The sequence below is a fragment of the Homo sapiens genome, chromosome 2 (genome assembly GCF_000001405.40).
Source record: "Homo sapiens chromosome 2, GRCh38.p14 Primary Assembly".
NCBI classification, from domain to species: Eukaryota; Metazoa; Chordata; class Mammalia; order Primates; family Hominidae; genus Homo; species Homo sapiens.
The window spans coordinates 19773589-19786145 of record NC_000002.12 but is presented as its reverse complement, the minus strand read 5'-3'; the positions used below and the strand labels follow the sequence as shown (position 1 = coordinate 19786145).

Sequence of the window (12557 nt, the reverse complement as noted above, 5' to 3'; positions counted from 1 at the left end):
TGCCATCACCACAGCCCAAAGCTCTGGGTTGCTAACAGCCTCTGTCCCCCACAGAGCCATTAGTAGGTGTCCTTTGGGGCAGAGGGCCCTGTGCCCAGCTCTGCAGGCCTAACGACACCATTCCTGAATGGCGACATGGATGTGTTTACCCAGCCTCTGTAACCTGACATGCAGCAGTCCTAATTGTCCTCTGCGTGAACCTGGTGCAGTATTTTAGTGTGTCCTATAGAATAATATTGAGAGAATGAACAAATCAGTGGCAGAACCTTCTGAGATTTGCCTAATTGCAACTCAAATTGTTCCCATATTGGAAATTACATGGCTAAGATGCCTTTTGGGGAACTGAATATTAGGAGCCCAGGAAGGTCAGCCAACAATGAGTTGCCAGACTTTTTCTCCATGAACTCTTACCGAGACATTTTCCTGCAATGAGACATGTATAGGTTGACTCAAAACAGATTTCACAATCACTTTATCCAATTTTGGACGGCTTAATTCGGCAGTTCACGTAACCCTCTTTAATCAGCCTCACGTTCAGGGGTTGTTGTTGTGGCTCAAGCACTTTGACGGGTAGATGGCACTCAGGTCAGTACCCCTAAATGGGGAGGCTCTGGCCAGTCACTGCCTTGGCTCTGGGAGCCTGGACTATATTTGGAACTCTTAGGGGCCCTGGGTCATTGTGAAGTCTCCAGCGAGGTAGGAAACCTGTGATTCTTGTTCCCAGGCGTGCTTTATGCCCTGAGTGGGATGCCCGGGGATGATGAAAGTGAAAGTTTTGTGTGTGTGTGTGTGTGTGTGTGTGTGTGTGTGTGTTAAGATTGTTCCAGTTTTGACACTGTTGTGAGGGGTATCGAGGTCTCTCAGGATTTTTGACTCTGACATTGAATAACAATAGGCTGGCTATCTGCCTAGTTCAGCACCCTCAGGGAAAAAGTAATTTCCTGTCTTTCCCTTTATGGCATTGGGGAAGCCATATGCCTGGACTTAGATTGGGAGGTAAGTCCAATTGCTGATATCTACCTTGTCACCTCTCAGGGGTTGAGGAAGTTGCAACCTCTACCAGGGAGACTTTTTTGTCTGGCACTTTAACTTTGCAAGCCCTTAGTTGTTGCTTGTTCCATGGGTAATCACAGCCATCCTGTGAGAGGGCCCCGGGAAAAACGATTCCTCTTTTACATATAGTGTAAACTGAGGTCTGGGCAGCTCAAGTGATTGGTCCAAGGTCATTCGGGGAGTTCATGGCAGAGTCAGGTCAGAACCAGCCTCCTACTCTCAGTGCGTGGGTCTCTTTTGTTTTGTTTCTTTATTAAGGAATCTGCCTCTCATTTGCTTGGATGAAACACTGTTGAGCAGTTTGGGCTGTGCTGGTTCTGAAGAGTGAAGCAGCATTGCAGGGGTGAGTGGCGTCATCTGCATATCACCCTCAAACCATCCCCGAGTGTGGCCAGCCCGCTCCTGGGTATCTTCCCAGTTACCTGAATGTGGCTGTCGACTCACTCTCCACCTAAACCCTTCAGGTTCTTGCTCTGTGGAGAGGTAGGGCAACCCTGGCTACAGACCAGGTATGTTCAGGGCCCAGGTGGGGAAGGAGAAGGCCACACTTGCCAGGTACTATTCTGGTTGCTTTGCATGAAGAGCTGCAGTCAACGCAGTCAGATTTTGTGAAAAAGAAAGCCACTGTTGCCTGGTTGGTGGGAGGGATGTGTGTGCGTGTGTAGGGTAGCATGTGTGTGGCATGTTATGTGTGTATGGTGTTTACAGTGTGTGTAGTATGTATATGTAACGTGTGTGGTATGTGACTGTGGTGTGTATATGTGTATAGTGTGTGTGTTGTGTGTATGGGGTATGTGTGTGGTATGTGTTTGTAGTGTGGGTTGTATGTGTGTGGTATGTGTTTGTAGTGTGTGTATGGGGTGTGTGTGTGGTATGTATTTGTAGTGTGGGATGTGTGTGTGTTGTGTATTTGTAGTGTGGGGTGTATGTGTGGTATGTGTTTGTAGTGTGGGGTGTGTGTGTGGTATGTGTTTGTACTGCCCCCATGACTCAAATTATCTCCCACTGGGTCCCTCCCACAACACGTTGGAATTATGGGAGTACAATTCAAGATGAGATTTGGGTGGGGACACAGAGCCGAACCATATCATTTTGCCCCTGGCCCCACATACCATATGTGTGTGTGGTATGTGTAGTGTGGGTTGTGTGTGTGTGGTATGTGTTTATAATGTGTGTATGGTGTGTGTGTGTGTGTGTGTGTGTTTGAAGGGTAGTGGTCAGGGAAGGCTTCCTGCAGTGGGGGTGGATTTTGAGTGAGCATTCTCAGCAGGCAGGGTAGTGATGGGGACAAGGGAAGGTGTGGGGGCAGTGGGGGCAGGGAAGGCAAATGGCTGGGGCTGTATCTGACTGATACTGAGGGGCCTGTTAGGAGTCCATGCCAGGGAGGTGAGCTGCTGTTGTCCTGACCAAGCCCTTTGCAGGCGCCTGACTTCCCCGTTGCAGCAGTAGAGCCAGGTCTTTTGGCAAGTGCTCTTCCTCCAAACACTGCCTTCCAAAGACAGTGATCTGACTCCAAACATCTGCAGAATGGAAAAAGAGAACAGAGGCAAATGGGATGGGCGGGGCAGTCATATCTTAAAACTCCAAAATGATCTCCTCTGACTCCATGTCTCACATCCAGGTCACGCTGATGCAAAAGGTGGTTTCCCATGGTCTTGGGCAGCTCGGCCGCTGTGGTACAGCCTCCCTCCCAGCTTCTTTTATGAGCTGGTGTTGAGTGTCTGTGGCTTTTTTGGGCACGTGGTGCAAGCTATAGGTGGATCTACCATTCTGGAGTCTGGAGGATGGTAGTCCTCTTCTCACAGCTCCACTAGGTGGTGCCTCAGTAAGGACTCTGTGTGGGGGCTCCAACCCCACATTTCCCTCCTGCACTGCCCTGGCAGAGGTTCTCCATGAGAGCCCTACCCCTGCAGCAAACTTCTTCCTGGACATCCAGGTATTTTCATACATCCTGTGAAATCTTGGCAGAGGTTCCCTAACACCAATTCTTTACTTCTGTGCACTGGCAGGCTCGACATCACTTGGAAGCTGCCAAGGCTTGGGGCTTGTACCCTCTGAAGTCATGGCCCGAGCTCTATGTTGGCCCCTTTCAGCCATGGCTGGAGCAGCTGTGACACAGGGAACCAAGTCCTTAAGCTGCACACAGCAAAGGGACCCTGGGCCCGGCCCAGGAAACTATTTTCTTCTAGGCCTCTGTGCCTGTGATGGGAGGGGCTGCCTTGAAGACCTCTGACATGCCCTGGAGACAGTTTCCCCATTGTTTTGGGGATTAATATTGGGCTCCTCGTTAAGCAAATTTCTGCAGCAGGCTTGAATCTCTCCTCAGAAAATGGATTTTTCTTTTCTATCGCATTGTCAGGATGCAAATTTTCCAAACTTTTATGCTCTGTTTCCCTTTTAAAATTGAATGCTCTTAACAGCACCCAAGTCATCTCTTGAATGCTTTACTGCTTAGAAATTTCTTCTGCCAGGTACCCTAAATTATCTCTCTCAAGTTCAAAGTTCCACAGATCTCTAGGGCAGGGGCAAAAATGCCATCAGTCTCTTTGCTAACAGTTCCCAAGAAGTTCCTCATCTCCATCTGAGACCCCCTCAGCCTGGACCTTATTGTTCATATCACTATCAGCATTTTTGTCAAAGCCATTCAACAAGTCTCTAGGAAGTTTAAAACTTTCCCACATTTTCACGTCTTCTTCTGAGCCCTCCAAACTTTTCCAGTCTCTGCCTGTTACTCAGTTCCAAAGTTGCTTCCACATTTTCAGATATCTTTTCAGCCACACCCCACTCTACTGGTACCAATTTACTGTATTAGTCTGTTTATGTCTTCTGATAAAGACATACTAGAGACTGGAAAGAAAAAGAGGTTTAATTGGACTTACAGTTCCACATGGCTGGGGAGGCCTCAGAATCATGGCGGGATGGGGGGCAAAAGGCACTTCTTACATGGCAGCAGCAAGAGAAAATGAGGAGGATGCAAAAGCAGAAAGCGCAGATAAACCCATCAGATCTCGTGAGACTTATTCACTACCACAAGAACAATATGGGGGAAACTGCCCCCATGATTCAAATTATCTCCCATTGGGTCCCTCCCACAACATGTGGGAATTATGGGAATACAATTCAAGATAAGATTTGGGTGGGGACGCAGCCAAACCATATCATTACTATACCCTGGGAGAGTTACTAGCAGGAAGAGACAGTCCACCACAAAGACACCTCCATTCTGGATGGGAAGACTGAATCTGCTAGTACAAAAAGTTTGCACAGTTTTGCAGCTAACTTCCATGACTCTCATTTCTCATGTGAGAATCCTCTACTTCTCGATCTTGACATATCCAATGACCTCTGAGGCTCACCCGGTTAATCTCAGAGCCTTGACCTTTTCCTGTGGCTCTTTAGAATGAGAGAAGAGCTGAGTGCAGTTTGCACTCTCCTTCACATCTTTATCAGTAAACATGCAGGAAGCATCACCGTGTCTAGGCACCACGGAGGCCACTGTGCCCCAGGCAGACACAGGTCTTCCCTCTATAAGCCTGAGGTGTGGCAAGGTCAGCAGCCTGGAGGAGTGAGAAGCAGGGTGTGAGGGTGTAGGGTGAGGCCAGAGAACTGAAGAGGACCCCTACCCTAATCCAGGAGGTCACGAAAGGCTAGCATATCACCAGGGAGCCCAGAAAAGGGGCAGAGTGTTTTGCAGCAGTGGGAACAGCAGAGCAAAAGTGCCTGGACAAGAACAGGCATGGTGGGTTCAAGAAACTGAGAGATTTAAACAGCTGGAGCTCTGGGGGCCAGGGAGAGAGTGGTCTATATGAAGTTGGAGAGGTAGGCAGAGAGTACTTTATCCTGTGGGAAGCCCTCTCCTCCATTCCAGTCCCCATCAGAAAGAAGAGCCCATGAAGGTAATGCCAGCTGGCAGTGAGCACCAAAGACAAGGACGAAAAGCTACTGCCTAAATGCACAGGTGATCTGTTGCCATGGGCATTGCCTTGGGCTCCCCAACTACTGGTCCTAAAGCCATGAAGCAGAATCTGTCTATAGGGCCAGCTGGCATCCTCCTTCCACAGCCTGTCATGGTAAGTACCAGATTTATCTCCGACCCTACCTCTAGGCATCTCAAGCACCCTAATGGGAAGAATTTTTTTTTTTAAATAAGGCCAAAAGCCAGCTTTTAATCTATGAATAGAATCCTTTCAATCTATGGGTACAATCAGCTTCTCCATACCGTTTTGCCCACCCACCCCCATTTTCTGTTTTCCCCTTAATTATATCTAAAGTTATGTAAGGGTTTCTCCCAAATACAATTTATGGAGAGTTGATTTTGGAAATGAATTCTGTTTGCTCAGATAAGGGTAACCTGGCAAAGAGACATTGAGAATAATCTTAAAATTGGACATTTTGTGACCTGTTTTTTGCCTAGAAAAACTAGCCTGATTCAGCTCCATTTAGCAGATGGGTAAAGAGAGTCATGTTGCCTTGAATCCTTTCTGTGCTCACGGAGGTGGCCCAGGGTGTGATGCCCTGTCCTTTGCTGGAACCTCCTCTAGACTGAAGCTCATCCCATATCTTGTGTTTGTGATCAGCACTTCCAATCCTCTTTGCCCTGAGTAGTATTTGATTGTAGAATAGGGAGGAGGGAAGCCCAGGTAAGGGCCCCTGTGAGCAAAGGTGTGCGGGCTGGAAGGGATTGGTGTGTCAGGAACAGTCAAGAGGCCAGTTTGCTGGTGCAGAGACACATGTAAGGCAATAGGGAGATAAGGAAGGTGGAGGCCAGATCCCAGAAGGCCTTGAATTGCAGGCTAAGATATTTGGACTTTATCTTCTGGGTAACAAGGAATAATGGAGGCCTTTAAGGAGAGGGTGACAAAAGTGAAAAGGTGTGGGCTGAGAGCAGTGGCGCTGTGCCTTCCTACCTGCAGGCGTTGCTGTGGGGTTGGGTGATTGTGAACTGGGCAAATACCTCAAAAGTTTGAACAGGCGTCCCATGCCCCAGGGTCCAACTATGTGCCAGCAACTCCTAAATTCTTCCATTTTCTGAATTTGAAACTCGCATGACAGTTGCCTTCTTAGCATCTCCACTTCGAAGTCTCACAGGCTCAAACTTAAGAGGCTCCAAAGGAAGAACTTGCTATTCTCTCTCAAACCTGCTCCACCTCAGTCTCAGTCTCAATAAATGGCATCTCTAATTGCCCAGCTACTCCGCTGGAAAACTGAGGCATCATCCTCCCTGCTTCCCCCTTGGTTGTCCTCATACTCATTCATCACCAATTCTGTTGATGCTATCTTCAAATATTTTCAAACTTATCCATTTCTTTACTATGGTCCCTACCTTAGCCTAGCTGCCATCATCTCTCTCTCGAACTTCTCTGCAACTTACTGATCTCCTTGATTCTATTTTAGAGCCCCATCCAACCTACCGTCCCCAAGCAGCCAGACTGATGGTTACATAAATAAATTGTCATGTAACTTCTCTGTGTAGAGTCCCTTTTTGGCTTCCCTTTGCACGAGGACAAAATGTGCAGCCCTTGCTATGGCCTCCAAGGCTTCATTCTGGTGGTCCAGACTCCTCTTTGACCCCCTCTCTTGCTGCTCTTCTCTTTGCAAATGATGCTTTGTTCCACGGCTCCTTTCAGGGGCAGGATCCTCCTTTTGGCTTTAAGGTCTTTTTGCCTTGAGCCACGCTCTCCCCCACACCAACCCTACTTGTCTTCACATCTCAGGATAAGTAGCATTTCTGCAAGGGGCTTCCATGACACCCTAATCCTGAGCAGTTTTTCTGTTGTTGTCCTCTCCTATAGAGACCCGTTCTTTTCCTTTGAAATCCCGATCACACTTTGTGGTTCTTTTGTGCCTCCTTGTTTAAAGCCTGTCTGCCCCACTAGACTGTAAGCTCCCTGAGAGCAGGGAGCACAACTGTATTGTTCATTAGTGCGAGTTGGAGCCTGGTTAGTGCCTGACATGTGGGACATATTTACTAAATAGTGAATGATTGAATGAATGAATGGTGCTCTGCTACCATTCTGTGATCAACATGATCCTTCTCTCATATCCCAAGATTTTGTGGGCAGGGGAAGGAGGAGCTGAAGGTTGAGGATGATGGCTCGGGAGACAGTGATCACAAATAACTTACCATTGCTCAGCAGGAAGGTGCTGGGTCTCTAGCCCACACAGACCCCTAAAGACCCCTTTAGTACCCTGTGATGGAAATGGCATCTAGGTGCTCTCACCAAAGTCCCTCTTCACCTGCAGCCCAGATGCTGAATTACCCAAATGATTCAGGGGTCAAGGGCTCACTCCCAGTGGCTTATGGAGAAGTGGCTAAGCCTGTACTCACCTGTTTTCAAACAGCAATTCCCATCTTTGTATCAGGAAAGTAAGTCCACAGAAGGCCCGTGTAGGCTGTCAAAAGAGTAAGTCCATCAACCATGCTTTTTCTATTATGACTTGAGATTCTATCAATTTTCTAACTTGTGCATATGGATAAATTCATATTAATAATAATAATCAGAATTTTACTAACCTTCCCATCTGTTTATAGGGTCTTGACTCCCTTGCAAAGTTTCCACTGAATATTTCTGGATTCCCCTGGATGTCTCTTGTGTGCTCCTGAGCATGTCTGGTAGCCACTTTGTGCTTCTGTTTCTTCCAGGAACTGCCTCCCCATCACTGAGTTTCCCTCCCACCATGGGGTCCTGGCATGCCATCTGAACATGGCTTTGGACTCTGTTGTCATCTTCTGTGGGCTCCACAGTCTCCCGTGGTCACTCCTGCTACCTGACTCCTCTCATCAGGAACTGTGGTCCTTGTTAGCTGCAGCACTGATGCGCAGGGGCCCTCCTAGCCTGAAACTGAAGGCTGGCCTGTGCCCTTTCCAGTTACCAGCTTGTCTTAAAAAGTTTAAAGACAACAGACATAAATCTGTAGGACTAGATGGGGAAGAGATCTGAGGATCAGAGCCAGAGTACATTCAGAATCACTCCTTTGCTAAGATGTGGAAATTTCATATCTAAGTCTCCATTGCTGAGTCTTGCCTTAGGATGAATTCTCTTCCCGAAAGAAATTCAGTTCTTTATGCAGTTAGAGTTCTGAGAATTCTGCCCTGAACATGTCTGGATTCCCACATAGGCTTCAGCCGGGACTCTTGCTATTCACCATTGCGGTCCAGAAGAAGCTAAGTTCAGGGATCCTGGGCATTGAAGATAATACCCATGCTGTGGGCTGAGAAATTGGTCTTGACTGCCTGCTGTCTGGGGGAAGACACCATGTAGATGAGGCAAACTGGTTCTTCTGTAAATCTCTTTGTACTTGGCTTGCACTGCTGGAATCAACCTGAGGAATTAGGATTCCATGACTCTTGTTTCCCCCTTAGCAAACACATGTTTTGCATTCTTATCATGTCCAGCCATCTTCTGTTCTACCTTTATGATTTCTTACCTGGAAGTACAACATGCAGGAAAATCAAATATTCCTAAGTACAGTTGGAATGTCCCTTGGGAAGCTGCAGGAGTCCAAGGAGATGTCATAGATTTTTGTCTTAAGTAGATTACAGCCTGAGAGCCCTCCAAGTTGTCTCTGGAACTTGAGCTATAAACATCTCCCAACAAGACGCACACAGCTTGGCATCTGTAGGGGAGCACAAGACTGTAGTAATGATTGGCAGATAGCTTTGGGGCTGGTGGGGATTTTTGGATCTGACCCACTGATCCAACAGCAGGCCTGGGATTCTGTAGCTGGTTGAATGGGCAGGTGGTTTGGCACTGCTGTGGTGCGCAGTCATGCCTGAGAGTGGATCACCTGCTGCAGCTGGCACGGTGTCCTCAAGGCTCTTCCACGGGCTGGAGACACCTTTGCTTGGCTCACTTTCGTTGGCAAAGCTGATGCACATGGAATGTTTCCTTCAGAGTTAAAGGCTGTTATCTTGCTAGGAGAGGGCCAAGAGTTTTCTGTGTGTTTCCAGCCCACGAGGGAGAGTTCTTTAAGGCATCACTCCCATGCTGCTGAAATCATGCTGGGCTGTGGCTAGTAATTCAGTTCAACACCCCTGGAACTTCCTCCTTGGTGCCAGACACTGAGCCAGACCACAGGGAAACAGAGGTGGTGAAGATGTGGTTCCTGCCCTCAAGACCACCTTGGTCAGAACATAGAATGGGGTGCAGCCTGGTATCCACTTTCATCTACTTTTGTTAGGCCAGAAACTCTTTTGAGAGTCTGATGAAAACAGTGGATCCTCTGTAAAAATGTACAAATACACTCCCTCCCCACGGCATTTTACATGCCAGAGCAGGGATCCCTGAAGTCAGAACCTCAGTTTGAAAAGTTCATCCTAGAGGACAGATTGGTGGAGTGGCTGGAAGGACATCTGTCTGTGGGCTTTTGTTTTATTCCTGGCAAGGGAGAAGTTGACCCAGAAATACAGTGGCATTGGGATGGAGAGGCTTGAAATAGAATTCACGGAGGGTGAAGGCCAAGGAGACTTAGAGGTTTCAAACTGGTATAACTGGATAGCAAGTGTTGCCACTATCGTGGAATAAACACAGCCTCTCCTTCCTCATTGAGTGATGGGAAGAGAGGACTGCACCAGGTTGGGGAAGGGATGAGAGCAGGGATCTTGGGAGCCATGGAAGGAGAGACACGTAAGGGATACTTTTGTTTTGAACCTAGCTGTGCTGGCCTGTGCAGAGGTGGCCGTGGCCTCATCAATGGCCTGTGATCTTCAAGCTCAGCCTTGGGGATGTGGTTTTGTCCCTAATGTGCAGCTTGTACTTGGGCATAACCAAAGCACCTCAACTAGGCTGATGTCAGGAAATTGACCTAACTGCAATATCATGCCACGGCCACATTTGCATGAGTAGAATGTTAAGTTCCGTTCATGGAACTACAGGTTGTTGGGGACACGTCAGAGTCAGCTGCAGAAATTTTTTAACTTCCCATGCCTAGGCCACCTAAGATATGCTGGAGGTGGGGGCCTGGCTTAGGCATTTAAAAAGCTCCCAAGTAGATTCTAATGCATGCTGTTTATGAACTGCCAATTTGGAACATCCTCTCCTTTTATAACTGAAGGGATGACGTCTTAGGAAGGAAAAGGTCGTGACTCAGATTCTCTGCAAGTGGCAAGACTCCTCTTAGCGTTCCTGAATGTAGAAACAGTGCTTTCCTCAAATCCCAAGTACTTCCTCCTAGGGATAGGCCATAGTCTCAGGCTTTACCCACTAGACTTAAACATCAGACATTTTTGCAGACGGAGTCTTCCAAACAGCTTTTAATTCTTTGCTGGAAGGCCTAGGGGATATGCATCTTCCATCCCAGGTGCTTGTGATGGGAAGACAGCACATAGAAGTTTTCCCCGAGCTCCATACTAGAAAACAGGGGCTGAGATGGCTCTTTTTATGGCTTCTAGAGGACACGTGGGTCCCATCACAGCATGTAGAAGGCAGGTCTTGGCGTGCTCAAGGCCCTCAAATTCTTCCCTGAAGACATCACAGAGCCAGTCTGCTCGGCGTTGGATCCAAACAGCCTGAGTTCCCAGAGGGATCAATCTCCAGAGGGACTCTGTCTTTCCTGCTCATGGTTTAGCTTGGCCACAATGCTGGGGCTGCCAGTGCCCAGGTGGGCTTCTCTAGGGCCAGGACAGCAGGGTTGCTGGAGACAGGGCTGTTGGGCCTCAGCAGAGGCTATTTAATACAGGTGACATTTAGAGGGCACAGCTCATAGTTGGGTGAGTTCTCCCAGGGTATTTTCTAAGCTGCCCCAGAGCACACGGCTTGGGCCCTTTACCTGGCCCTCAAAGGCAGCCTCTAGCCCACCCCGTTAGCTGGCCCTGAAATGGGAGCTCAGTGGCGGACAATCGGTGATGTTTATAGTTGATGTTTGCGTCTTCTTTAACTTTCCTCCCCTATAAGGGAAGGGAGAAGTTCATAATGTAATTGTGTAAGTGACATGATCCTACAGAAAAACCCTGAATGAGGCAGCATCTGGCTCCAAGTGCGCATTCTTCAATAGCAGGAGAGGTGTCTGGATGTGTGAAGGGGAGAGCGTCTCTGGAGGAATGGGAGCCTGGAGTGGGGTTTCAGGCAAGATGAATCCCAGAAGCTTTTCTTTCAGGGGCATTAGTACAATTAGTTTGCACTGGGCCACACCTACAGAATTCCTTGCTCTATGTGAATTCGGACAGCAGGGGGTTAGTATCTGGTTACAGACAACTGTAACAGTAAAAATGCAATGTAGCAGGCTGGATTGGGAAAACAGTCTTTGTGCTTTCAGAACTGAACTCAGAGAAATAACAGACTGAGAATTTAGTCCAATAATTCTATCAGTCCTGAGACAATGAAGTGACACAGTCAGGGACATGGACCAGCATGAGACAGAGTAAAATGGGACAAGGTCCTGCATGGATACAGGGGGGATAAAGGAGATCACAGATGGCAGAGGAGCCACAGAATGAATGAGGAGGAGCAGGCCTGGGCAGAGAGAGAGATAGCACCTTCACCCTGCCTGACCTATGACTTTGACTTGTGCCCTAGGGAGGGGGAATTGGTGATTAACCTCCTGGGGATTACAGCGTGCTCTTGTAAATTTAACAGTTACAGTTTTGACTAGAGGCCCAAAGCATGTGGTTATTTACAATCTTGTTGAGAGAAGAGTTTGAATGGGACTCACTGCAATGCTGGAATGGACCATGAATGATTTGGTCAGACAAAGCTGAGCTGGCCTCCTGCCCTCATATCTCCATCTACACTGTTGTACTCCACTTCTCACAACACTGTAACTGTATGTGTGTGTGTGTGTGAGAGAGAGAGAGAGAGAGAGAGAGAGAGAGAGAGAGAGAGAGAGGGAGGAAGGGGAAGGAGTCACACCATTCATAGTATTATAAATGAATGGCCCCTCCTAGAATTGTGCAGTACACAACCTGTACAGCTGCACATATCAGCTCTGACAGCGAAAAAAATAAAAGTTTGGAAAATTTAAAGATTAGACTGTTGAGCTTAGCACTGGCTTGGCTCTGTGATGTGTAAGAGTCCATTACATATTTTATCTGGGGAATGGAAAAGGAATTTGGGAGGCTCTTGCTGAGAATGCTCCAACTAGTGAGAAAACTTTTCTCTCATCAAGAGAGAGATAAAACTCCAGTGAAAGTCAAAAAGGCTGTTAACTGTGGTGTCAAGCTAGGGCATAGAAAATATGAGCTCTCTACCAAAATATAATACAGGAGAAAGCCAGGAGCCTGTTCCAAAATGTCTGCATTTGTATATCTGTGGATTGCTGAAGGTGGTTTCTGGGAATACTGAAATGTTATTTACAAAGTCCTACTGTTATGTACAAATGTGTGTATGTGTATGGACAAATTCACTTGGCTTCAGAGTGTATATAGTGGACTCATTTTATGTGCATTTATGTTACATGCTGACTTTAGAAATTAATCACAACTTAAGATACAACTTTGCCATTGCCTTCAGACCTCAACACAACAAACAGCACTATTGACATGCATCAAGGTTATAGTTGGAAGCTTA

At 47.5% G+C, this 12557-nt stretch overlaps 2 annotated features.

The window, feature by feature from the left end:
* Positions 10201–11127: an enhancer, noted in NCBI's record as "NANOG-H3K27ac-H3K4me1 hESC enhancer chr2:19974780-19975706 (GRCh37/hg19 assembly coordinates)". NCBI's record gives its function as "activates a minimal SCP1, AML or CMV promoter by ChIP-STARR-seq in primed H9 embryonic stem cells {active_cell/tissue: H9 hESC(primed)}" and the evidence as "EXISTENCE:reporter gene assay evidence [ECO:0000049][PMID:30033119]".
* Positions 11128–12055: an enhancer, noted in NCBI's record as "NANOG-H3K27ac-H3K4me1 hESC enhancer chr2:19973852-19974779 (GRCh37/hg19 assembly coordinates)". NCBI's record gives its function as "activates a minimal SCP1, AML or CMV promoter by ChIP-STARR-seq in primed H9 embryonic stem cells {active_cell/tissue: H9 hESC(primed)}" and the evidence as "EXISTENCE:reporter gene assay evidence [ECO:0000049][PMID:30033119]".